This window comes from Homo sapiens, chromosome 16 (genome assembly GCF_000001405.40).
Source record: "Homo sapiens chromosome 16, GRCh38.p14 Primary Assembly".
In the NCBI taxonomy this organism is placed as follows: Eukaryota; Metazoa; Chordata; class Mammalia; order Primates; family Hominidae; genus Homo; species Homo sapiens.
The window spans coordinates 32598714-32626607 of NC_000016.10; the positions used below are offsets into that span (position 1 = coordinate 32598714).

Below are 27894 nucleotides of genomic sequence, written 5' to 3' on the forward strand. Positions count from 1 at the left end.
GATTCAATCCCATTCCATAAGACTTCTCTGCAGTCTCCAGACATCAACAAGGACCAATAAGCTAACTTTTCTGTGTCTTTCCTGAATTCTTGTCCCTGTAAAGCAAATTGAAATGTTTGTCTTCTACTAGCATTTGGGGGTATTAGTTTTTTTTATTTAAAAATAATCACAGTAAAGATATCAGGAATAACACACTTGTAGGATATTCACAAGGTACAGAAGAGTGGACACTGAAATCTGGACTTGTCTTTTCCTCTTCTGCAGCCTGCCAGCTTCTGCCTCTGGAAGTAACAACTGTTAAGTTTCTGCACATCTTTCCAGATTTATTAATTGAACAATCATATAGCACTGACAGCATGGCAAAGCCTTATAAAAGGGCTTTGGCTACCAGTGTAAAAGACTCAATTATTTTCCTTCACTGTGATCACTTAGGTGGCACCAGGAAGGAAAGCCTTATGCTCATTCCCTTTTATTCTTCCTAACATATTCTGTTTTTAAAAATGTCTTTTCCAGGGGCCAGGCACAGTGGCTCATGCCTGTAATCCCAACACTTTGGGAGACCGAGGCGGTGGATCACGAGGTCAGGAGATGGAGACCATCCTGGATAACACGGTGAAACCCTGTCTCTACTAAAAATAAAAAAAAATTAGCTGCACGTGGTGGTAGACACCTGTAGTCCCAGCTACTTGGGAGGCTGAGGTAGGAGAATGGCATGAATCCTGGGAGGTGGAGGTTGCAGTGAGTTGAGATTGCACTACTGCACTCCAGCCTGGTCAACAGAGTGAGACTCCATCTCAAAAAAAAAAAAAAAAGTCTTTCCGAATTTGGCATTAAGAGATATATATCTGTTGTCTAGTATTTTTTAATTGAGTTTTCTCTCTCTCATATATGTGTATATTTATATGTGCACACCTGCCCAATTTTCTATTCTGTTGTTGACAATTAAAATTCTCCATTGACACAGGTAATATGTGTTTCTTCCCAAATCCTGTTAACCACCCCTTCAATTAGATAATCCCTGAAAAAAATTGCAGCATCTATATTAATGCAGTTTTTATGCCTCAGTAATGACCCATTTGATTTAATCGTTCTTAAAACTTGTAATGAATCAACAGTGATGGAAAGTTATACTGAATCATTTCATATCTGTTTTGATTACTGTGAATTATATTCTAAGAGATAGGCTTTAAAATTGAACTTATATTAATACATTTTAAATTTAATTTGGAACTAGTTTAGAATCGTTGAAGCTAGGACTCTCTGTTGACTCAGAAATTGTAGAAATGAGTGGGGATGGCATTTCACATCCAGCCTGGAATCTCCCTTTATTCTCAATGTATTGGCTTTTCTTATCTTTACCCTTAAATTTTCACTATCAAATATATTTGAGAGGCAGATCCTTTTCCTCCTGTAATATTTGTTTCATACACACAGAATAATACTCTTTGTCTGGGATTCAGTTTTTGAAATGAAACATGGAGTCTGAGTGACCCCTTGTTGATGTGACAATGGGCTGGTCAGGATCACAGCAGTTGGGCCCCATATTGTGACATGTATGCTTGTGAAAATTCTACTGTGACATGTCACTGACATGATCTGATGATGTAGGTCTTGCCTTTCATTTTAACTGCCACTCTGGCAACTGAACTTTGGCAGTAAACACAGCTTAGTTGTCTCAGAGGATTCACAATGGGAAATGTTTGTAGTTGCTGCCTCAGAGGTATGTATGTTCATTTCCATCTTCTGACCACAATTTCTTCAGATGTGCCAGTTTTTCTGTATGTTAAATGTCATTCTGATTATTTTTTTATTTTCCCAGCTCCTATTTGTCCACAGATTTCTAAATATGTTTTAGAGTTTTATTACTCAATTTGTATTTTTTAATTCTTCTATCAAGATTTTTGCCTCAAGTGATTTTTTTCTAGAAAAACGCACTGTTTCCAATGCCAATTTTTTTTTTGGACAGTCTTGCTCTGTTGCCTAGGCTAGAGTGCAGTGGTGTGATGTCGGTTCACAGCAACCTCCACCTCCCAGGTTTAAGCAATTCTGCTGCCTCAGCCTACTGAGTAGCTGGGATTACAGGCATCCACCACCATGCCTGGCTAATTTTTGTATGTTTAGTAGATACAGGGGTTCACCATGTTGGCGAAGGAGGTCTTGAACTCCTTACCTCCTGATCCACCTGCCTTGGACTCCCAAAATGATGGGATTACAGGCATGAGCCACAGTACTTGGACATTTTATTTTTTTGGCAGAGTCTCATTCTGTCACCCAGGCTGGAATGCAGTGGCATGATCTCAGCTCTCTGCAACCTCTGCATCCTAGGTTCAAGCAGTTCTCTTGCCTCAGCCACCCAAGTAACTGGGACTATGGGTGCCTGCCACCATGCCTGTCTAATTTTTGTATTTTTAGTAGAGACAGGGTTTCACCATATCATCATATTGACCAGGCTGGTCTCAAACTCCTGACCTTGTGATCTGCCAGCCTTGGCCTCCCAAAGTGCTGAGATACAGGGGTGAGCCACCACACTTGGCATTTTTCCCCCACATTCTTTCATAGACTAGATACAGAAGAAACCACTGAAAAACAAACTGGGGTGCCACATTTTCAGTTAATTCCCATTAATTGCTTGTTCAGAATGTTTCAGTTGAAGGGAAGTTGATTCTTGGCACAGCCATCAAGTGGTAGTTAGTTTGGAATGTCCTACATTCCAAATTAACTTGGGGGCCAAGCAGAACTTGGTCCCTTGGTGTGGTCAGTTGATCATGGAGGAGTGCTCACTGCCAGACAGCAGACAATACAGGGTGCTGGGTAGGATGACCAGACATTTGAATTTGTTCCTCAGAGAGGCTTCATTTGCAGGAAAGTGCCACATTTTAGCACTGGAGTTAAAATGTAGAGACAGGAGTTTTGTTTTGTTAAATGATTTGAGTTTTTTTCTGGAGTCACCACCTCTTTAATACACCAACCTTCCCGAAAGGCCCTTGGTGCAGGAGGATTGAGAAAGGGAGAGGAAAGAGCTCCAGGTTCAGGGTCCAGGCCATGATTTAGAGGCCTCAGATGTTCAGGGATCTCTGTCTCCAGAAAACCAACCAAATTCTTGTCCCAGATCTATCATTCATCAGTGTTGTGACTCTAGGCAGGTCACTTCAATTCTCTTCATTTCACTTCCCTGAACCATCAACTCTTGAGTGGCAGCCCCTGCTCTGCCTATCTTTCTGGGGTGATGTGGGCATCACAGGAAATTTGAATAGAACTTTTTCACGAGTTCTAAAGCATGAGATCCATGTCAAGAATGAAGCTAATTTTACCCTCCACTGCCCTGGAGTCTCCCAGTGGCTTCTCTATTAATCACTACCAAGGGCCTGGCTTATTCTTCCAGATGTGAAATAACTGAACACTTTATGGTACTTAGGAAGCACCGATCTTAAGGCTTTAGGTCCATTTAACTATTTTTACCCTTTTAACATAACGTAGGCCATTATCAACATTTCCACATTCAGACTAGGGATTAGAGGCACAGTGGAGTCTGTAGAACTTCCTCAGGTTCTAGCAGCTTCTCAAAAGTCCTTGAGCTCAGATCCTATGCACCAGACCATATGCTCTTGGTCACTCCAATCTACTACCTGTCTGTAATGTCTCATCTCAATACAGGCATTTGCCTGCACAGTTATAAGTGCAACCCATAGTGCAGGTTCATTCTGAAGCCCAACTCAGATTCAGGGGGCTTTGCTCTGCAGATGATGAACAATGGGATCAAACATTTAAGCTGTGAATAAATAATTACTCATTTCTCTGATCTTTTGCAGCAAGATATCAACAGTTGTCTTTATTTTAGTTCATTTCCCAGCATATTCTGTTGAAGATCAAAGAGTGGATCCTGGGGTGCCAGGGGAATCCACCGTCTGCCACCACAAGTGTAAGAAGTGAATCCTCCATCACTGGCTTCACAGCTGTGTACACTCTAGAGTTGCATCAACAGAAGTTATCTTGGAAATTCAGTCATTCAGTTCATTCATGATATGATTTCTAGATTCTTCAGTGTCTCATATTTCAGACAATTATAAAATTGCAATGCTATATTCTTTATATCGTGTACATATGTAAATGTGTTAAGTCAATTACTAGTGCTACAACTACAGGAGTAAAGGTGTATTTCCATTCCAGGTTTGGGTTTACTTTTAATAGTAAATAACATCTCAGTGCAAATTGTAGATATTTTGCTGATTGTTAAAACATTAACTAAGAAGGATCTTTTTCTGAGACAGTGTTGCCAGATTTGTAAAGCAATGGACATCACTTCAAAATGTTTGGAAGTAACCTAAAAATGGAGGAAGTGGTACTGAAAATTTCCATATACCCACCTTCCTCAGTGTTTTTTTGTGAACCCATCTTACATGAGTGTGATAACGCTTGTAACAATGACCGAGCCAATAGTGATACATTCTTATGAACAGAAGTCCAAGGTTAGCATCAGTGACTGAGCCAATAGTGACACATTCTTATGAACAGAAGTCTAGGGTTAGCATCAAGGTTCACTCTGTGTTGTCCAGTCTTTGGGTTTTGACAAACTGACAATGTCCTTTGTCACCCTGATGGAATAATTTCACATCCTAAACATGACCTGAGCTGCATCTACTAATTCCTCTCCTTTTCTGATGATTCCTGACAACTGTGGATGATTTTACTGCCTCTATAGGTTTCCTTTTCCAGAATTTTATGGAGTTGGAATCATAAAGTATGTAGCTACTTATGACTAACTTATTTTACTTAGCAATATACATGTGAGATCTTTTGTATTGTTTTGAAGCTTAACAGCTTAATAACTCTTATCAGTGAACAATAGCCCATTGGTTTCATCAAACAGTATTAGTTGGCTCACTCACCTCCTGAAGACCATCTCAGCTGCTTCCAATTTGGGTAATTATGAATAAAGTTGCCCACATTCTTGTGCAGATTTTAACATGAACATAATTTTTAAATATAGCTGGGTAAATATATAGAATTTTGATCACTTGCTGGTAAGACTATGTTTTCTGTTGTGTTAGGCAGAATTCACCAGTATAATTATGTGGGCATGTTTTTTTAAAGTTATTACTTACTGATTAAATTCTATAATAATAGAGGCCTACCCAGATTATCTATCTCTCCTTTGGGTGGTTATGATAATTTCTCCCTTTGAATGCATTTGTCCATTTCATCTAAGCTAGGAAATTTGTGGACATAGACACTTGAATCTCACAAGTTTCCTGCTTGGTTCTTGTCAAAGGCTACTGTGCTTCCTGTCATTCCTACTCTAAAACTTTTCAATAACCTTTCACTCCTGCACTTAAAAAATTGCAGGCATAAATTTGTTGAAAGTATTCTGTTATTATTTTCTTAATGTTCATGGGATCAGCAGGGATAATTCCTCTTCTATTCATATTATTTGTACATTGTGTTGTTTCTTTGTGATTAGCCTGGCTGGAGGTTTACCAATTCTATTGATCTTTTCTAAGAAGCAGCTTTTGGTTTTGTTAAGTTTCTTTGTTTATTATTTGTATTACATTGATTTCTGCAAATATTGTTATATTTTTGGGGAGGGGGATTGCCTGGTTTACAATTCACTACACCTTTTTTTGTCTAGTTTCCTAAGGTGGAAAGTAAGACAACTGGATTTGGATTATGTTTAGTTTACTGCACAGAATTGGGAAGGGCACTGATGCCCCTGAAGTGTGCACTTGATTATTAAAATAATAAATATGATGTATTTTGGCCACAATATTGATTTTAAAGCCAATAAAATGGATGATAAGTGCAGGAGGAGCATATGTAGATCCAGAAAAGATAAATGACATTATAACATTTCAACAACAAAAAAAGGAAATTTACCAGGCCTCAAAATGCACAAGGGGGTGATGGGACACTGTCATGAAATCAGCTGTGCATTTGTATGCTGCCCTGTGTGAACTCTGCCTATTTTGTAGCGGTGAGGGTTGCTTAGCCAGAGAACCAGGCCCTAACTTCTGTGCCTTTCCTGATGGTCTCATTTGCCTTCCCTCATCACCCAGGATGGTGTCCCAGTGGCAGCCAAGTTTCTGCCCTTAACCCACCTCCTTTACACACACCAGCCCCCTGCCCCCAGCACCCAAGTTTGCCTAAGGGATTCCTTCAGTGGAACCAATATGCTGACAGTTACTCTGTGTTTCCTAGATCACGATGAGCACGTGGCACAGGAAACTTCTTCTGAGGATGTCCCAGCCGTTCACATGGTAAGTTCTTCTTTATGTTTCTAAGATGGAAATTTTGTTGCTCTTGGTTTTTTATTTTATTTGAATTGAGATATGAAAATCTTACCGTGTACATTATAGATGACTTACAGAATTTTTTGGTGGGAAAATGTGAGGGTTCATTACCAGGTAAGAAATGATCTCAGATGGTATTCTTAGATGGCACCTTCAGTTATGAACTGTATGGCAGAAAGAATTTTTTTAGGGGAAAAGCTTTCTTCTTATAACATTTTGACTATACAACCACAAGAATCTTGGAAGTCTTGCATAAAAACCTAGTGCCTTTCCAGAAATGTCTTCTAGGCTTTATTTTGGGACCATCGCCTCAACCACTGTCTCCCATCTGTTTTTGTAATGTCACCAAGTAAAGAAAAGGTCTGTATGGTGAAACACCATCTCTACTAAAAATATAAAAATTAGGCAGGCATGCTGACCAGCAACTGTGATCTCAGCTACTGGGGAGGGAGAGGGAGCAGGATCGCTTGAGCCTAGGAGGTGGATGTTGCAGTGAGCCAAGATCATGACTCTGTACTCCAGCCTGAGGGACAGAGCGAGATTCCAGCAAAGAAAGAGAGAGAGAGAAATAACAACCTGTGCACACAGGACACAGCATGGTCTGACCCTTATAGTGTTTTGTTTTTCTCTAAATGCAGGTGGACAAAGCCACAGAGACAAACAGTACATATTCTGGGATCACCCCTATGCTGAGGAAAATTTCTAGTGTTGACAAAGGTGACACTTTCTTGCCTCATTTTTTCTGGAGAGCCACTCTGGTTTGAACTTCCTGCCAGAAATGTGGTTCAAGCACTTTTGTCTTCAAAAGTGAAGAACCCGGTCAAGAAATGTGACCGTTGACTCTAGTGCCTGGAAGGAACTGTGCCATTTGTATAGAGGAAGGTGCTGTGCATTAGGGTTGGGAGGTATGGAGGAATGAGTCAATGTGGAGTGATTGTGAATGTCTCTGTGAGTTTGTGTGCTTTTCGCCAGAAAAGATGTTCCCAAGTGCAAAGCACAACACAAAGATTGATATTCTAAAAACAACATTTCATCACCACTGCGTTTTCCAAAAATCAACCCATTCATTCCTCATGACAGCTGTAGCTGAAGGTTAAGTTTGATATACCCAGTCCTCACGTGGAGATGATGTAGAGATGAATTTTTCAGGCTTTTGTTCTCCTAAGTGGAAATGGCATAGATGAACTCGGGAATGGGTGGAAGGGTGATGCTGTGGGCTGCTAGTCTGAAGTTATCACATGGCCCTGGTGTAACTTGTCACCATGTCACAGAGTCCTTAGCATCTATGTATATATGTGAAGTATGTTGGCCTATAAAGATCTCCAGCACTGTATACCACAATAGAATGGTCTCAATGGTCAGCTGACCCAGAGTTTGAGTAGGTTCATTGTACAGTGGACTTTGGTGTGGTCATTAATATGAAACATACAGAAGAAGTTGCCAGGCCTTTGGTCTTAAGTGATGGGGTATTCCTCAGCCCCTGCTCAAGGGCAGAGAACATTCACAGATATATTCTATTGTATTTAATGAGATCATCACCACAAACGTTAGAAATGCTCCAATTCAGTAGCACACATATCCAAGACACGGCACACAACAAGATCTCAAGGAGCCAATTGGCTGTTAGCCTGGTTCCCATCTCCTCTGCTGGAATCTTCTGCACAGCTGGCTAACAGAAGGTCAGCATCCCCACCTATTGCCACCCATGAAGGGCTGTCCCAGTCCTGGAGCCAGTGTGAGTATGAGCAACAGCGGGCCCCATGACACACACACACACTGTGTTAACAGAAAGAGCAGAAGGACAAATATCACAGGCCAAGTAGGGGTCATCTTTAAATGGTAGGATAATTGAGTATTTTCAAATCTTGGTTTAGTCTTCTTTAAAACAGAAGGTTAATGAATACACAGAATATTTTGGCTAGAACTAAATCTCCTGCTGAAGAAAGGTAGCTTTTTATCTTGTACAAATTGTGGCCAGGCACGGTGGCTCACGCCTGTAATCCCAGCACTTTGGGAGGCCAAGGAGGGCAGATCACCTGAGGTCAGGAGTTCAAGACCAGCCTGACCAACATGGAGAAACCCAGTCTCTATTAAAAATACAAAATTAGCTAGGTGTGGGGGCACATGCCTGTAATCCCAGTTACTCAGGAGGCTGAGGCAGGGGAATTGCTTGAATCCGGGAAGTGGAGGTTGCGGTGAGCCAAGATCACGCCATTACACTCCAGCCTGGGCAAGAAGAGTAAAACTCCATCTCAAAAAAAAAAAATATTCTAGGAGAAACGAAAAACATAGCAGCAGGACACGTGGATCCTGGGGAGGAAATGACCTCAAGGGGATCAAGAAGGAAGAGCAAGTTATCTCAGGTCAGATTAGGAAGGAGGAGCCATGAGATGCTACAGGGAAACCCTGTGTGGTGTGCCCTGTTTGAGATGGGTTATTTAATGTCAAAGAGGTTGCCTTAGCTACAGGACCAAGGCTCTGTCTTCTGTGGCCTTCCTGATGCCTTCCTTCACCATTTGCCTTCCCTCAGCACCATGGAGGATGGACTGGCAGCAGCTGAGTCTGTGCTGTGGACACACCTTTCCACACATCTATCCACACACGCCAGCCCCGTGTCCACAGCTCCAAGATCACCTGAGGGATTCACTCCGTGGAGCTCATGTGCTTATAGTGACTCTGTTTCCCAGGTGACCTGGAAGACTGGGAGGAGGATATGCCAGGGCAAACATCCTCTGAGGAAGCCACAAATGTTCACATGGCAAAGTCGTGTTTTTTCCTCTGAAATGGAAATTTTATTTCTCTCGGTTTCTCTCTGTTACAATTGAATTAAGATGTACACATCTTACCATGTACACTATAGGTGACTGATAGAATTTCTTGGTGGGCAAATGTCAGACTTAATTATCAACTAAAAAATTGTTTCAGGTGGCATCCACATTTACAGACCGTATGTCAGCAGGCATTTTCCTCAAGATAAATGCCTTCTTATGAGAAGCATTTAGAATTGTCTAACAAAAACAATTGAAAATTCAGTACAAAACTCTTATGCCTTTCCAGGAATGTCTTCTAGATATCAGGGCCATTGTCTCAATCACTATTTACCATATTTTTTTAACACCAACAAGTGAAGAAAAGACTTGTGCACAAAGGACACAGCCTGGTCTGACCCTCATAGTGTTTTGTTATTTTTCTGTAGATGAGCGGGGACCCAGCCACACTGGCAAAGAGTAAGTATTCTGGGATCATCTCTTTTTTTAGGTTCAAAATGTTAGTGTTGCAAAGATGGCACTGCTTTGCCTGCTTTTGCTCAAGAGCCACTCTGGCTTGAGCTTTCTGCCAGAAATGAGATTTGTGAAGTTTGGTTTAAAAAAATACTGAGAGTCCAGTAAACAACTCTAACCACGGTACTGTCATCCCTGGAAGCAACAGTGTCACGTAAGGTGGGGTGGTACATCAGGGTTGGGAGGGACAGAGGAGAGAGTCTATATGGAATGATTGTGGATGTCTTTGGGAGTGTGTGTGCATTTCCCCAGAAAACATACTCCCATGTTCAAAGCACAACACGAGGATCAATGTGCAAGAAAAATTGCATCACAACGGCACAGTTTGCATGGATCAACCCATTCATCCTCCACCACAGCTGTACCTGAAGATAAGTTTAATATCCCCAGTCCTCAGATGGACATGGTGCAGAGTCGAATTTCCCAAGCTCTTGGTCCTTTAAATGGAAGAGGTACGTGTGACCTCGGGAATGAGTGGAAGGTTAATGTCATGGACTACTACACTGAATTTGTCACAAAGCCCTAGTATAATTTCTTGCTAGGCCAAGTTATTCCAGCACTTCTGTGTGCATGTGGAAGAATGAAAATCTATTCAGATCCCAAACACTATCATTATTGGATGATCTCAACGGTCAGCTAACCCAGGGTTTGTTTGAGTTGGTACATTGCCCAGTGGGATTTAGTGTGATCACTAATGTAAAACACACAAAGTCCTCAGGCTTTTGGTCTACAGTGGTGAAGTCATTCCTCAGCTCTTGTTCAAAAGCAGACAATAATCAATGGCATATTCTGTTGTATTTAGTGAGATAATCACCACAAGTCTTAGAAATTCAGTGGAACCCTATCCAAAGACATAGCATCCAATAAAATCTCCAGGATCAACTTGGGTGTTAGCCTGGGACCCATTTTCCCTGCTGGAATCTCCCACACAGCTCGGCTGGAGACGGTCAGTGTCTGCACCCCGTCCCCCTCGCTGCTCCCTATGACAGACTGTCTCTGTGCTGGAGTCACTGTAAGCATGAGGAGCAGTGAACTCCATGGTGCACACACATTGTGTTGAAAAGGAAGAGTGGAAGAACAAATGTCATGTGCTAAGTTGGAGTCATCTTTAAATGGTAGGATAATTGAGTATTTTCAAATCTTGGTTTAATTGCCTTATAACAAAAAATTTTTTAATGAAATCTTTTGGCAATAACTAAATCTCCTATTTTAAGAAAAGTTGCTTCTTATTCAGTGCAAAATCTTCTAGAGTGATGACATACAGAGCAGCAGTACCTGTGGATTGATTGTGAGGAGGAAATGAGTTTGGTAGGGATCAATAAGAGGGCAAGTTAGCTCAGGTCAGATTAGGATGGAGGAGCCCTAAGAGGCTGCCAGGGACACACAGCCGGCACTGCAGGAAGGGCCCTGTTTGAGATTGGCTATTTCATGTTTACGAGTTGGTCTGGAGCTAGAAAGCCAAGGGCCCTGATTCCCTTTCTTCCCTGCATCTCTCCTGTGCCTGCTATCCTCCTCCCACACCCACCTCAAGCAATGTTACTGAATTGTTCATGAGCACCACCAGCAAGGTGCTGATGGTCACTCTGTATCCTCCTAGTTCTGATGAAGGATCTACTACAGGAGCTGTCCAGTTACAACGGAGAGGAGGAGGACCCAGAGGATGTGAAGGTCAGGCCACCTGGATTTGTCTGAGAAAAACTGTTGCTTTCTTAGCTTTATCTTATTTGGATTAAATTAAGATATGAGAATCTGGCAATATATATCTTAGATTAGTTACGCAATGTCCTTGGGGAGAATTGTAAGTGAGAGTCTGTCCCCCCTGAGGCTTGATTTAAGACAGTGGGAGAAAATGAAAGAATCAGTCACACATTGTGCGGCAGTGAGCCTTACCAATTTTGTTTTCTCTTTGGAGCAAAATCACTTACTTGCCAACCAACACGGACTTGAGAGGAAACATCCTCCGAGAAAAATTTGTGTCTTTAATATGAGTCGATTTGCTCTGTTCTTCTTTTGGGTTCCTTTCAACACTGGTTTCCGTCTTGTTTTCTAATGTCACTAAGTGAACAAAGTTTTGTGCACACAGGACACAGCATGGTCTGATGCTCATAGCAATTTATTTTCTGTCATTACAGAAATCCTCAGGAGTTATACAAAGGGGTATGTATTGGGGAACCCCTCTCATACTGATGAGTAATCCAGATGATGAGCAATGTGCCACTGTCTCTCTGGCCTTCCTGTAGACAGGCAGCCTGAGTGGAGCTTCCCCTCATGAATGAGGGCATAGGCTGTGATGGGAGAAATTGTTGTTCCAGATAAAGCATGATGGTCACATTCTGCAGTCCCTGGGAACAACTGTGGTCTCTGAAGTTAGGTGAGGTTGTGCGCATTGAGTTGCTGCGTGTCTTTTTGAATTAATGTGGTGAGTGTCCAAAATACGTAATGTCAAGGTCATGTACAGGCTCAGCCTCTATCATGCAGCCTAGTTCTGGTTTCCGTCTTCTATGCTCAGGAAACACAGCAACATGAAAAGATAACCAAAAGGCTTGCCCTAGGGTGTTACTGGCAGGGCAAGCACTTGCCTTCCTAGGAGGATAGAGGGTGACTCATGCATTATGAGGTGGGGAAAGACAAATGAGGCTGTTTTACAGCAGAGGCTCCATGATGTTCCCATTGAGCCCACTGTTGACAGAAGTTTTTGTTTGCTTCTGAAGGTCTTTGCAAAAAACAAGTCAAGGTGGTTGGCTGAAGGTTATATGAAAATAAAATTAGCCAAATTCTGGATTGAGTTTCTTTTGGGAGCTTGCGTTTGGTGGAAATATATTGTATATGAATTGAATTTGATTGCTCTGTAGGTGTCAATACTTATCCTATATTTTAAAACAATGAGGCTGGTGTGATTTTAAAATGCCCCTCGTTAACCTCATAAACTATCTCCTCATAGCCCATTTCCTCCAGTCATCTTTAATCTCTAAAATATAGGTTTTTTTTTTTGTGGTATTTGGGGCCCTCTGCTGTGTGTGATTAAAGGCACAAATCAGCGTTACCAGCATTGAGGCTCTAAGAATTCACAGAGTGCTGTCCAGTGGGTTCTATGAGAGAGACAGTAGGCTACAGCCTTGGCCTGGGCCTGAAAAGGAACACGATTTGGAAGAGCAGAAGGAAGGCATGAGGGCAACAAAGCCACAGGGGGAAGCCAAGGTGCAACATCAGCAGAGACAGTTCTGCATCATCACCTGGGCATGGCCGGGATGTTCATATTACAACTGACGGAGAATGGGTCAAGCTCCAACTTCATAGCTGGTTTTAGCACTGTTGGCCTGTCTTCCTAAGAGCCTGAAGAGAGAAGCTACTTTCTTGTTTCTTGTCTTCTCTATTTCCTGTATGTTGATGGCAATGGCACCACCAGAAATTAATGAGAGGCAGAGAACACAAGTGAGTTCTTGAAACATCCAATTTTGCCCAGAGAGGACATGATCAGCAGGGATGGATTTCAGGGTCAAGCCAGATACAAAGTATTTCCCAGGCCTGGTCTCTGGCTGGGACAGAGATCAGCTCTTATTTTTCACCTGCTTCTGGGAGTCACCTGACAGCTGGTCCTTGTGTAGTTGCTGTTGGCCAAGTGTGATTTGGCCCAGAACCCTGTGTGACTGGAAGGAGTGTCAGCTTTCAGGCAGGAAAGCTGCCCCACACTAGATGCAAGAGAGGTGAGAAGAGATCCTGCTTCAGTGCAAGGTGAACTCAGCCAAGGGAGAGGGGCTGCTCCAGAGTCCAGGTGGTCCTTGCAACTCTCCCATGTGACCTATAAGACAAGACTTTTCCTGTTTCTCTGAGATAGTCTTGGAATTATTAGTCTCAAATTCTGTTTTGTTTTACTTATGTGTTGATGAATCCTGGCCATGGCTCGTCAATGGGAGGGCAAGGACTATGTCCTCCTCATTCCTTGTCATCCCAGAGCTCAGCCCTTGGCAGCCCATCTTGGGCCCCAGTAATGTTCCAATGCTTCCAACCCCTTTGCTGAGATCCAGCGCCAGTGTGAAAAGGCTTCCTGCTCATCTCCTTCAATCTGTTTTTTCTCATGGTAATCTAGAAACCTGAATGGATTCTGATCCAAGGTCACAGGAGAATAGGGTGGGGTCCTGAAGTCAATGAAGAGTCCCCCTCATCTCTACTCTGGCTACATTGGTTCACCTTTTCTCCTTGCAGAAGATGCTCTTTTTCTGTTTACAAGCCCTCCTTTGCTGGACCAGGCTTTTTTATTTTTGTTGTGGCATCCCTGCACTTCACAGGGGGCCTGGAGCTTGTTCCTGTGCCCCTGAAGCACCTATCCATAAATGATCAGATCAGAGCAGCAAACCACTCTGCCAGGAATCACCAGGGGGGAGAGTCACATCTTCCTCACCTTTGGGTTTAGACCTGTGCATTCCAGTGTGGTCCTGAGTGGCATATGTGCCCATTCATATTTAAATAAATGAAAAAATTCAAAACCTCCTCACAAGAGCCATGCTAGAAGTTCCCAGTTGCCAAATGTCTACTCTTAAGAGACCATCTCCATTCTCCCAGAATCACCTGGGAAGCAGCTGCTGGGAGTCTGGCCCAGGTTCTGTTCAGTGCACCCACCTAACTCAGTGCATGTGCATCAAGGCTTAATCTCAGGTTCTCAGATTGGAGGTAAGAGATGCTATGAGCCAGTGTCGGTGAACAGTTGAAAGGGATTATTTCAGGTCCTCTGTCTCACCTGAAGGCGCACAGCTGTGAGCAGTGCCTTCATAAAGTCCCCTGAGTTCACAGAGCCCAGGGAGAATCATAGTGGACAAAGCAGTCATGTTGATGTTTGTGTCTCTGTACATGGGCTCATGGGCACTACCTCTGGATCCATCCAGGAGGAAATAGACTGGTCAGGTAGGGACCAACACCCCAGGGTTGACCAGTGAGAGAGCGTTCTTGGAGATTGGGTTACACTTGTTTTGGAGCCTAGGATGGGATCAATGAAGTGACTAAATATGAAAGGAAACAGGTATAGAAGTCTGACTTGGGTTTTTTTTTTTTTTTTGTATCTTAATGACAAAGTTGTAAGAGTTGTGTTCTTATGGGCTTTGTGTGAGTTGTGTTTGTCACCATCATTTCTTGCTCTGGTGTTTAAAGATTACATTTTGCAGAGGACCAGATCATTTCTGCCTTTGCCACAGCAAGCACCAGAGCCCTGGGTTTTGATGAGGTAGCATTTTTTTGTGAATAGAGATCACAAGATGAGTATGCAGGTGTAAAGTTGAGTGTGGGGTGGGACAGAGCCCCTTCCAGGTGCTACGTAATCCTGAAGGTAAAGTCCTTCATACATGTGCCAGGAGATGAAAGGAGCCCACTGTCTTTCTCTACACTCTCAGGACCTGCAACAGCACCTTCCTGTCCTGTCCTCACCATCTGCTCCTGCTCTAAGGGTGCTCCCTGGGTTGGATGACATAGGGAATCATTCCTCTGGAATTCATACGTGTGCCCCAGCATCCTGGAGTCCTGAGGGCCGAACACATGATTGAGCACATTTTTGGCCTCCACTCCTCACCCAGTCCCATCCAATCCCAAATCCTTGGGCTTTGAATGAAACCTAAATTGGTTTTCGTTGGAGAGGCCCGAGTCCAGCTGTAGCTCAAGGCCCTCTGTGGCTGGCAGGAATCCTAGGGGATATATGTGGAGGGGCTGCTGTGTTGCTGTAGGCAGTGGCTCTCACCGTCTGTGTAGCCTGGTCCCTGGAATCCACTGGGCCCAGGGCAGAGCCTCTGGGCAGCTGGCACGGGGTCATTTATCTTGTCACACCCTCCTCTCTGGCCCAGCAGCCTTGTCCTGCTCCCCATACTCCTGTCAGGCCCAGCTTGTTCTCTGTGTCAGGTCTGCCAGGTGCCCTCCCTCTTAGTCTTCCCACAGCTCAGGCAAACCCTGGGAGGGCCCCCTCATTTCTGTGCTGAAAACTGCTGGCCTCACCTGCAGATTAAGGCAACTGGGACAAGGGGCTTTACTCTGAATTCTGTTCCATTGTTTCCAAATATTCAGAAGCTGATGGGATTGTTTTGAGGGCTGAATATTTTCCAAGTCTCTAAGGTCATTCCAGGCATAGAACAGTCACTGTATCTGTGACATCAGCCATCATTGTCTCCCACAGGCCCCAACACAACCCCAAGCCTGTGGGAGGTGCTGCCGACCCAGGGTGAGATCCGTCGGTTGATTGTAGGCCCTGGAAGTGAAGCCTTGACCTTCTTTCTGATATTCTTCTTTTGGAGAACAGTAGGACTGGTGGAGGTCCACATGGAGAAAGGAAATGGGATTCATGAGGGAACAGAAGCAGGCCCTACAGGACGAGGAGGGAGGGAATTCCATGTCATGCACAAGGTTGTGAAGAGGGTGGCTGCCTCTTGGAGGAACAGAATGATGCGGCTTCCCCTCCCTTGGCTCAGTGATGGTATGTGAGGGCTGGGCAAGTATGTGGGAAGTCAGAGATCCCTCCCTTATAGCACAGAAGAAATGATACAGGCTGTGGAGAAGGCTCCAGAAATGAGCACATCAGAGGCTCTGGGGTTGGCTCCACAGCCCTGGAACAGCAGGGTCTGAGTGGTTGTCTCGACTCTAACTCTCCCCTTTCCTTCTTATGGCCACCCCATCACCACTGCTCCTCCAGACACTCTGATGCTTGCTTCACAGAATTGGAAGACTCCACCATTACAGGCGGCCACCAGCAGGTAATTGATCTCCTCTTATATGCTCTCTCTCTTTTATCCTCTTTCTGACTCATGAGCTCCTTTTTTAGCTCTGGTCCTTTTCCTCTTTCCCTCTCTTCTGATTGTTCTCCTGAAGAACCTGGTCTCATCCCACAGTTGAGGTTCTTGGGTCTTCAGTGTCAATAAAATCCTCTCCAGCCCTCCTGCCCACTGCCTTGGCATTGCCCTGTTCACTGGCCCCCAGGTTGCAGCTTTCAATCTTGCTGAACAACACTTCAGGGTCCAGGGAGGGGACTGGGCTGGGGTCAGAAGAGCTGGACCCCACCCTGCTGGAGGGACCCCCAGTAACATCTGGTCTGCTCTGGGCACCCCCTTAACAGATAGAACTTTTCTTGCACTGGCGTCTCTGGACATGCACAATTGTTCTCTTTCTCACAGATGTCAGCAAGTCCTTCCTCTGCACCTGCAGAAGAAGCAACAGAAAAGACAAAAGTGGAAGCGGAAGTGTGAGGGGAAGTGGAAGCAGGCAGAATGATGAGGGAAGCACAGACATGCCCATGTTCTTCATGGCTACACTCACATTCTTGTTGTCCCATCAGGAAAACCAGGAAGCCCAGGAAGAATGTCCTGAACTGTTGGGACATTTTTAGTTTATTTTAGAGACCTCTGAAGGTAAGTGAAGGATGCCCTGAGAACATCCTCCAGGAAACAGACACCCACTCCATAGCAGCCCCTGAGCCTGCTGGGCTGAGCCCTCCACAGGCTGCGTAGTGAGGGAGACACTGAGGTGCTGGTCAGACCACCATGTGCTGAATTCCAAGGGCTGTGCACTCTGTTATTCGTCTGCAGTGACACTTCATCTCACCACCATCTCATTTCGGGGAACCTAGCTCTGTCCTCCCAGCCTCTTGAGGCCAACAGGGAGCATCACTAGTTCATCCTGAGGAGACACTAGGGTTGACATGAATCCCCCCCAGTTCAGGCCTCCTGGGAAAGGTGTGAGAGGGATGGGGGCATCCCCAGTTCCTTGTCACACAAGCAAGCAGCCCACTCGGCCCAGTATTGCAGGCCAGTGGGCACTCAGTCGGTCCTGGCATCAAGCAGAGGACATGGCAGGATCTAAGAAGCACTGAAATGTGCCCAGCCCCAGGGGTCCTTCAGCTTCTGTGGGGGACTGGGGGCCTCCAATCCCAGGGGTCCTTCAGCCTCTGTGGGGGTCTGGGATGGCCTCATGGTCCCATTTTTCAAGATGAGGTTGGAGGCTTCTGTACATAGAGAGCACTGACTTGGGCATCAGTTGTTCTGTATCTGTGCCAAATGCCAACCAAACAAACCCCTGAAGACATTTCAGGATGATGCTCACCTGGGAGGGGTTGAGGGCATGATTTAGGGAGCCTCTGTTTTTTAAATGTATTTTTCAATCTTGAAGTAAGGTACACATATGAATGTTTGTGTGTGTACATATACACTGCTTTTCACTCTTTCAAATGTATGTCTTCTGTAACCCTTTTCTGCTAGAATATATGAACATGAGAAATTTATGTCTTACCAAAGCATAATTTTAAAAATTACAATGCAAAGACAGGTCCGGTGGCAATGCTAGGAAGACGAGGTCTTATTAGGCAATAAAAATGACGTGCTCCAGGAAGCTATGCATATTCAACGTGCAGCTCTTCTGTCTGGATGGCACAGAGGATCTGGGTGGCAAGGCAGAGTCACCACCCCCACCCTGTGTTATGAGCGCTCCTGCTCCTCTTAGGGCCCAGGGGCATGGGACTCTGCTTGTTGATCCTGGAATCCTCGAAATTCCCCCATTTCTCTCTGTCTGTTTTGCTCTCCAGGGAACCAGCCCCCTGAAGGTGCCCATGTGAGCGCCCAGGTCCAGTTCTTCCTCCATGACACTTACAGACACTCTCTGTGGACAGATAACACCTCAGCAGAGAGCAGCACACAGGGCTCAGTGCCTTGACATCTGAGTAGACCTGACTGTCAGGAGCTCAGGGGCCCAAGGTCACCTTCCAGTGCCCAAGGACCTCTCTGAGACCTGCACCACCCTAGGGAGCCCCTCCTCCCTCCACCTCTGTGCCTCCCCAGTGACCCTTGCACCTCTGTCTATGTTGCAAATTCCTCGAACACCAGGAAGGGCTTGATGTGGGGATGTCAACATGGCTCAGATTGATGTGGATCGTGATCATTTTGGGAACTGTGTTACTCCAAAAACTTTTATAATCTTTGCTTAATTTGTTTTTAAATATTTTCCTGGCCGGGCATCGTGGCTCATGTCTGTAATCCCAGCACTTTGGAAGTCCGAGGCGGGTGGATCACCTGAGTTCAGGAGTTTGAGACCAGCCTGGCCAACAAGGTGAAACCCCGTCTCTACTAAAACTACAAAAATTAGCTAGGCGTGGTGGCGCATGCTTGTAGTTTCAGGTACTCGGGAGGCTGAGGCAGGAGAATCGCTTGAACCCAGGAGGCAGAGGTTGCAGTGAGCCAAGATCATGCCACTACATTCCAGCCTGACGACAGAGCGAGGTTTCCTCTTAAAAAAATATTTTTTTACCTGACTTTAACCTCTGTTTTTTAGAGGGCACAAATTGTTCTTGTGTTGTTTCTATTTTACATTTTTCCTGAAGTTATTTTCCAATTGTTTTCATTCCTTCTGAAGTTTTGTTTACTCAGTTTTGAGTTTTTGTAATTTTAATAGACTTCTTTCATGCTTTCATTTTCTTAATGACTTTTACGTCATTTTTAAAACAAATCCATAGTACGGTAAGTTACATCAAGATGGACTGTATTTATGTTTTGTAGTGGTTTATATTCTGTATGTATTTTACATATACAAGTGTTAATGGCCTGGTGCAGTGGCTACTGCCTGTAATCTCAGCAGTTTGGAAGACCAAGGCAGGAGGATTGCTCGATCCCAGAAGTTTAAGACTAGCCTGGGCTACATAGTGGGAACTCATCCCTACAAAAAAAAAATTTTTTTTAATTAACTGGGCATGGTGGAATCCATCTGTAGCCCCAGCTACTAGGGAGGCTGAGGCAGGGGGATTGCTTGAGTCTGGGAGGTTGAGGCTGCAGTAAGCCATGACTGCACCACTGCACTCCAGCCTGGGTGACAGGGCGAGACTCTGTCTTTTAGAAAAAAAGTTTATTAATATTAATATCAGTTAGAAATCTAGTTGTTCATTGCAGAACTAAACCAGTTTATAGCAGAAATAAGCACTTGGAGGGAAATGTTACATTTTCACTCCAGGCCTTGAGTCCTTAGCCACCAGCTGTTTGTCCTTCAGGGTTCTGTGGTTCCTGGTTCCAGAGAAATCATTTGCTCCAACGTAATGGGTGAAGAGTTCTTCAGGTGATGGCTGCTGGGCCCAGCTTGGCTGTTGTCTTTGCTGTCTTGTAAGCCTTGTGTTGCTCAAGTTCAGTTGTGTATTAGTGCACTAACTGTACTGCAAGCTTCTCCAAGCATGTGCAAGCAATTTGAGAGGAGCCTAATGTTTGCAAGGAATTTGAGAGGAGCCTTTTAAGGATGTTTTATTGGGTGGGTCAGATGAGGGAGATAACATGGGGGCAAGAAGGAAAGTTATTAATTCACGTGAAACTACCAGCCGTTCATCACCTAACTTATGATTTCAGACACTGAGCACATTGCAGGTTGAGAAGGTGCTTGGTCCTTTTTGTAGCCTTATGCTGTGCTCTTCAGAGTCATGAGTGTGCTGCTTTTTCTCACCATTTTGTTTCTTGTAGATTGTTGTCCTTGATGCTGGAAAACATTTTGAAGACAAGACTCTAAACAGTGACCTATGCCGCACTAGTTTATTGGAAAATGAGAAATTTACATTACTGACAAGCTTGGAAGATTCTTCTGTCCTGCAGTGACCTGTGTTTCCCTGGTCTTTATCTTGCCACTCTGCTTTATTCCCCTTTTTTGTGGCAGTAGTTATGATGCCAACTTTTGGGGATTCTTTGTCCTCCTCTTTTCTTCCTACATGCCAACATTCAAATGGCCACTTCTATTAAGTGATGGAATTCAAAAATTTGTTTCTGTATATTAATCCTAATATGGTTTCACTCATCCCTCAATTTAACATTTAGAGTACAAAGTAGTCACCTAGAGGTGCCACTCAATATACAGCACTGTGTTTAGAAATTGAGGGAGCCATGAATTATTTAGACTCTGCTCTCTGAAACTTCAGCCAGGTGCAAAGAAGAGATGCAGAACCACATTTCAGATTGTGTTATGTACACCCAGCAGCACCAAAATGAGCCTGGGAATCATGGGGGTCAGAAATTTACCTCTGAGGCAGGTATGGCTGAAGCTTTATGAAAAGAGATGGGGCCTGTGCCAGGCCTTAGATGTAGGAGAAGGAGGACGTGTCAGGAAGCAGAAACAGTATCATCAAAGGTGCTGCTGTGAGGCATGTGGGCAGTGTTTGGAGAAGAGCCAGGGACTTTCTGTGTCAGGTTTACAGCATCTGTGGGAGGCCGCATTGGTAAATAAGCCCAGAGAAGTAGGCTGGGGCTACTTACATTAAAAGTATGCATGGCTTTAAAGGCCAGCTGAGTGGTATAAGTAGAAACTGTAAATAGTATCACATTTATTGAGGACAGCTTTTGCTGCCAATAGAGTTTTTAAATTTTTTGTGATTGTGTAATTAATGGATGAAGAATTATTGACCTAAATGTATCCAATCTTTGAGTGTTTTAGTATGCTAGATTATTGTAGGTGAAATGGCTAAGTCAAAGGTGATGAGTGTTTTTGAGACTGTTAATGCTAATTGCAAAATTAACCTCTTAAAAAGGCACTGCCAGCTTAGGCCATGACTGAGAGCTCTTGTTTTATCTTGTCCTTGCTGAGCTGGGTGTTATAACATTGAAACCTTCTGCAGTCTGTCTCTCTCTCTCTCTCTCCCCCCACCCCCTCCTCCCTTCCTCCCTTTATTCCTTTTACTTCTCTTAGGATAGGCTCATCTGTACTTTTTTGATAGAGGTAACCATTTGCCACACCATTTTCTGAAGGGCCTGCTCTCTTCCCATTCATTTGTGATGGCACATTTATCCTACCATAAGCTTTGGTAACATGTCAGGATCTTTCTGTCCTGTCCTCTCAAAGAGGTTAATTTTTTTTTATAATGACTTATAACTGACTGAAGTTATAATAGTTTTCTCATGTCAAATATAGAAAGAGGCCAGGTGCGGTGCCTCACGCCTGTAATCCCAGCACTTTGAAAGGCCAAAGCAGCTGGAATGCTTGAGTCCAGGAGTTTGAGACCAGCATGGACAACATGGGGAAACCCAATCTCTACCAAAAAAAAAAAAAACATTACCCAGGTGCAGTGGTGCATGCATGTAGTCCCAGTTACTCAGGAGGCTGAGATGGGAGGATGGCTTGAGCCTGAGAGGTGAAGATGGCAGTGAGCTGAGATCGCACCACTGCATTCAGTCTGAGCAACAGAACAAGACTCTATCTCCAAAAAAAATAAATTGTACACTTTGACTCATTTATGTCTGATGGGTATTTTGATTACAAATTATTTAGTCAGTACTTTAAAGCCTGCTTAATTTTTTTTCTTAATTTTATTGACTCATTCATGTCTTAGTCTTTTTTATTACAAGTTACTTATTGTTTAGTCACTACCTTACAGCCGTTTTATTTTTCTTAATTTTATTGACTCATTTATGTCTTAGCCCTTTTTATGACAAATTATTTATTGTTTAGTCACTACTTTAGAGCTTGTTTCATTTTTTCTTCATTTTATTAAAGGATGATATTGATGATGAAATGTCCTACAATGATCATTTAGAGCTTTATTTTGAACAACTGGCAATTCCAGGAATGATGGAATAAAACATATGAAGTAGAAGGACTGGAACCTCTAGAAAAAATACTTTAAGTTACCTGCAAGTGATCCTAGTCAGGTGTGTTACAGTCTTAATGGCTTTTCAGAAATTTGACAGAAAATTACTATTAATCTCACTGGGTGTTTACATGAATTTTAAGCCTTTGCTTTTCTTTTAACTTTGTTTTTTTACAGGTATGAATTGATAAGAAATGCCTGCACCTTACCTCCTTCCTATCTTTCCCTTGCCTACAGAAAATTAAAAGGCAAAGACAATGGACATCTACATATTCTTCATTCAGATCAACCAGTGGCTAGCATTTGCCACCTTTGCATTTTCTTTCTCTTTCCATAAGTACTTTCTTCTCTGAATCATTTGAAAGTAAGTTGCAGAGAGCAAGATGTTTTACCCCAACACTTCAGCATTTATCTCTTGTGAATAATGACATATTTCTACATAATCACAGTTCTACCATCTAACTGTAATACAGTAATTTGATGTACAGCCCATATTCAGTTTTACCTAATTGTCTCCAAAATTTTCTTTATTTTTGTTTTAAATCCACAGATTAATCAAAGATTAACCTTGCCTTTGGTTATCATGTCTCTCTGTTCTTTTACTTTGGAGTACTTCTTTCAATACATGAAATATTTTGAAAAATCTACACTCTTTGTTTTGTAGAATGACCCATAATCTAGATATATCTGATTGCTTTTTTCTTCTCCTGACTAGAATAGTTTGATCATTTTGGCAAGAATAGATTAAACAGTGTTCTCATGAGTGGATCCAGATTAAACAAGGAATAATGCCTAATTCAGATTAGGCAGTGTTGTGTACTTAACGCCTCACACCAGATGTTTGAGTCTGTTTGTCCCACGATTGTTGATGCTATGTTTAATAATTTTGGTTGAGGTAGTATCAACTGGACATCTCCTTGTGAAGTAGCTTTTCCCTTTTGTTGTTAGTCATCTGTGGGATGAGATATCAAAGCACTGTGAACATCTTATTCCCTGGCAACCTTCACCAGCTGGTTTCAGCGTCATTGCTGAAGCCTCCTGGAAACATTGATTAAACCCGTGGTTCCAGTGGTGATTTCTCATTCCTTTTACACTGATTACCTGCCTCCTTGAGTAAGGTAGATGTTGTCTGCTCCCCATGTTTTCCCCTTCAAAATGTTTAATTTTAATTTAAATGATTAGTACAGCTGAGTTACCCTTTCAACAGGCAAATGAAAACAGTAGCCTAAAGTGTCAGTTTCAACCAGAAAATAACAGCTCTGATTTCTCATGGCTCACACTCTTCTGAAAAGATTCAGGAGGAGGCTCAGGAAGGCCATGTTGTTTGTCTACCTGGGACTAGTAAGTATAGAAATAGAATTCCTTTGTTCTTAAATTCTACCTTTGACTTTACTTTTAAAATATAATTTATTTAGTGTGATTTAGCTCATGCCTGTAATCCCAGCATTTTGGGAGGCCAAAGATGGAGAATTGCTTGAGCCATGAGTTTGAGACCAGCCTAGGCATCATAGGGAGACTCTACACATGCACACAAGCACGCGCGCACACACACACACACACACACACACACACACACACACTAACTGGGAATGGTGGCATGCGACTGTGGTCCCAGCTACCTGGGAGGCTGAGGTTGGAGGATCATTTGGTCCCAGGAGGTGGAGGCTGCAGTGAAATGTGATTGTGCCACTGCACTCCAGCCTGGGTGACAGAGCAAGACCCTGTCTCACAGAAGAAAAAGAAGAAGAGATCATCCATTTGTCTTCTTGATTTTTGTCAAAATGTGATATGTGATAGTTGATAAGCTTTGTATGAATCTGTGGCCATTTAATTTTGGGCTAAGGACTTGTTCTATTATAGCACAGTAATCATTTTACTAATTAGTGACTATTTGTCATTAAAAACAATATATTTAGTTTTAATACAGTTGAGTACTCACAAATTTCTGGGGAAACTTGGTCAGGACATTTTAACTGAGAAGGCACCTTCTCACTGATAGCCATGCTGCTCGGTGGTGCAGCTCATATGCAGACAACTCCCTTCATGTAATTTAGTAGGAAAATGACAGAAATAGTTGTAGAACTATAAACTAAAGCAGAATTCTGGTTATTGAATCACAGCACCTACTGAAAGAAGTTCTCAAGTTCTGATTGAGTTCTAAAAGATTTTGAAGATTGGAATTCTTCATAGGTAAGTAAAAATTTTGGATGACCCATTTCTAGTCCATCTTCTAAAGAAATATTTAATCTGGGCCATGTGTGGTGGCTCATGACTGTAATCCCAGCACTTTGGGAGGCTGAGGTGGGTGGATCACGAGGTCAAGAGATTGAGACCATTCTTGCCAACAAGGTGAAACCCCGTCTCTACTAAAAACACAAAAATGAGCTGGGCATGGTGCCGTGTGCCTGTAGTCCCAGCTACACAGGAGGCTGAGTTGGGAGGATCACTTGAGCTTAGGAGTTGGAGGTTGCCGAAAGCTATGATCATGCCACTGCACTCCAGGATGGACGACAGTGAGACCCTGTCTCTAAAACACAAACAAAACTAACAAAAAAAGTGTTTAATCCATAAGATGACCACATGTACAGAAGCCTCCTGGCAATCTTAGCCTGAAGCCATGAAGGAAGGCATAGTGTGAAGGCAAGTGCAGGCTGGCCTATGGCAGGTGAGGATCAGGACAGGATATGGAATGAACATCTGCATCAAAGCTTTATTGCTTGAAACATTCCTATCTGTAGGTCAGCCTTAAAATACACCATTTCATAAAATATTATCTTTCCCATATTTTGAGGCCATGCAATTTTTGATACCTGAGGGAACTGTATTGTGTTCTTGATTTGATGAGATCAGTAGCTTTCTTATCTTATTGAATGACATCTACAGAACTCAGAAACAGGCTACATATTAAGCAAATTGATATCTTTCTTATTATAATATTACTGTGTATAAGAAATAGAGATGGCCAGGTGTGGTGGCTCACACCTGTAATCTCAGCACTTTGGGAGGCTAAGGCAGGTGGATCACAAGGTCAGTAGTTCAAGACCAGCCTGGCCAATATGGTGAAACCCTGTCTCTATTAAAAATACTAAAATTAGCTGGACCTGGTGGCATGCACCTGTAATCCCAGCTACTTGGGAGCTGAGACAGGAGAATTGCTTAAACCCAGGAGGCAGAGGCTGCAGTCACCCAAGATCTCATCACTGGACTCTAGCCTGGGTGACAGAACAAGACTCTGTCTCAAAAAAAAAAAAAAAAAAGAAAGAAAGAAAGGAAAGAAAAAAGAGAGGGTCCCCCCCCCCACCCCACCAACTGATGTCAACTGCAGGGAGTGTCAGGTGCATGGTGCTATCAGGTGTTGAAAGTGCTCCTTACCTAAAAAGGAAAAGTCCCAAAAATAAAATTATCAAGGGAATTTTAGGTATCAGCTTTATATTTGTGTAAGTTATTTGTAGAGTTGGATTTTAAGAGTTTTGCCTGCTTCAGAATTCTCCCATTTTGTTCTTTTTTTCTTTTACATGTATCTTATTACCTATTATTACATAAATATTATTCACCTATTAAAATCAGTCATTGTCCTCTGATCCATTTCTTCAGTGGTCAGGACCATCTGTGGTTTCCCCACCATCGAGCATTTTCTCCTAATACTGTTATAGTTTTATAAACTATGATGTGAGTTTTGCATGTGGGTTACTTTTTTCTCACTTAGACCAAGTTTTCCAGTATTTACTAAAAGAATTCTTACTTTTTTGCTTTATTCTGTACATCTCTGTTTTGTACATATTAAATATATTTTTAATTTTAAATTGTAAAATATATGTAACATAAACTTTACCATCTAATCATTTTAAGTGTACAGTTCAGTAATGTTAAGTACATTTATCAGGGTTGTTTGATGTTTTGGCTTCTTTGGACCAAATTGGAAGAATTGTCCTGGACCACACATAAAATACGCTAACACTAATGATAGCCCATGTGCTTAAAAAAAAAAGAAAGAAAGAAAGAAAGAAAAAAGCTCTATGCATAAATCTCATAATGATTTTTTATTTGTTTGTTTTGACATGAACTTCGGTGGACACCTTTCAACCCTAACAGTCAGATCTAAGATTCTTAGTTGAAAGGATTTCCCCACTCAGTACTTTGAATTAATCAACCCTACTGCCTTCTGGCCTCCAAGGTTTCTGGTAAGAAATCTACTGATAATCTGACTGAGAATCCTTTGTATGTGAGGAGTACTTCTCCCTTGTTTCATTCAAGATTCTTTGTCTTTTGATACCTTGATTATAAACTATCTTGAGTGAGATACTTTGAATTTATCCTATTTTGAGTTTGTTGAGCTTTGTGGTTTTTTTGACAGCAAGTTTTTGTAGAGACAGGGTCTCATGGCCAGGCACAGTGGCTCATGCCCATAATCCCAGCACTTTGGGAGGCCAGCTGAGACCAGCAGATCACCTGAGGTTCGGAGGTTGAGACCAGCCTGACCAACATGGAGAAACCCAGTCTCTGCTAAAAATACAAAATTAGCTCGGCATGGTGGCACGTGCCTGTGATCCCAGCTACGTGGGAGGCTGAGGCAAGAGAATCACCTGAACCCAGGAGGCAGAGGGTGCAGTGAGCTGAGATTTCACCATTGCAACAAGAGTGAAACTCCGTCTCAAAACAAGAGAAAAAAAAGACAGGGTCTCACTCAGTCACCCAGGCTGAAAGGGCTCAAGCAATCCTTTCACATGAGCCTCCTGAGTAGCTGAGATTGTATGTGCACACCACCATACCAGCTTTTAACTTTAATTATGATTTTTTCACAGAAACAGGGTCTCCCTATGTTTCCCAGGCTGATCTTGAATTCCTGGCCTGAAACTACCCTTCCACCTTGGCCTCCCAAAGCATTGAGTTTAGAGGTGGGAGCCACCATGCCAAGCCTTGTATATTTATAATGTTTTAATGTTTTAAATCAAATTTGGGAAGTTTCTTAGATTTTCATTATTTCTTCAAGTATTCTTTTAGTCCCTCTGTCTGTTCTGTGATTCTTACAAACTGTTGTTGGTCCACTTGATGGTGTCCCACAGGTCCCTTAGGGTCAGTTGATATTCCTGCAACCATTTTATTTCTGTTTCTGACACAGGATTATTTCAATTGCTTTGTCTTCAGATTTGCTAATTCTTTCCTCTGCTTGGTCAAATCTGTTTTTAATCCCTTCTAGTAAATTTTTCTTTTCTTTTTTTTTTTTTTTTGAGCTGGAGTCTTGCTCTGTCACCCAGGCTGGAGTGCAGTGGTGTGATCTCAGCTCACTGCAACTTCTGCCCCCCAGGTTCAAGCGATTCTCCTGCCTCAGCCTCCCAAGTAGCTGGGACTACAGGTGCGTCACGTTTAGCTAATTGTTGTATTTTTAGTAGAGACGGGGTTTCACCATGTTGCCCAAGCTGGTCTCGATCTCCTGACCTCATGACCTGCCCACCTCAGCCTCCCAAAGTGCTGGGATTACAGGCATGAGCCACCGCACCTGGTCTCAGTGTAGTGAATTTTTAAGAAAATAAAAATAAATACGAGAGATGGATCTTCTGGATTGCTCATGACTTTTGAGAGTATGACAGAAGTTGGAGAGTAACTGACTTATTTATTAAACAGATGAACAAGACACTGAATCATGGAAAAATGATCTATTCAGAATTTTTATTTTGGTATAAGTTACAATGTTTTATTTGCATTCACATTACTGGATCAAGGGAAGACATTCTTAAGTGCAGACTAATCAAAAGCTGACTGTATT

General features: G+C 42.9%; 1 pseudogene across 1 annotated transcript; it reads left to right on the forward strand.

Annotated features, from left to right (window-relative positions):
• The first annotated feature begins 1632 nt into the window (after positions 1-1632).
• On the forward strand, positions 1633-27395 carry FAM153DP (family with sequence similarity 153 member D, pseudogene; annotated as a pseudogene). The gene is made up of 15 exons (XR_004837542.2): positions 1633-1720; positions 3839-3919; positions 6193-6251; positions 8815-8971; positions 9481-9511; positions 11163-11233; positions 11698-11722; positions 16230-16290; positions 16708-16941; positions 22037-22191; positions 22308-22494; positions 23338-23471; positions 24251-24320; positions 26223-26311; positions 27362-27395. The product of XR_004837542.2 is annotated as a family with sequence similarity 153 member D, pseudogene (transcript).
• Positions 27396-27894: the final 499 nt, after the last annotated feature.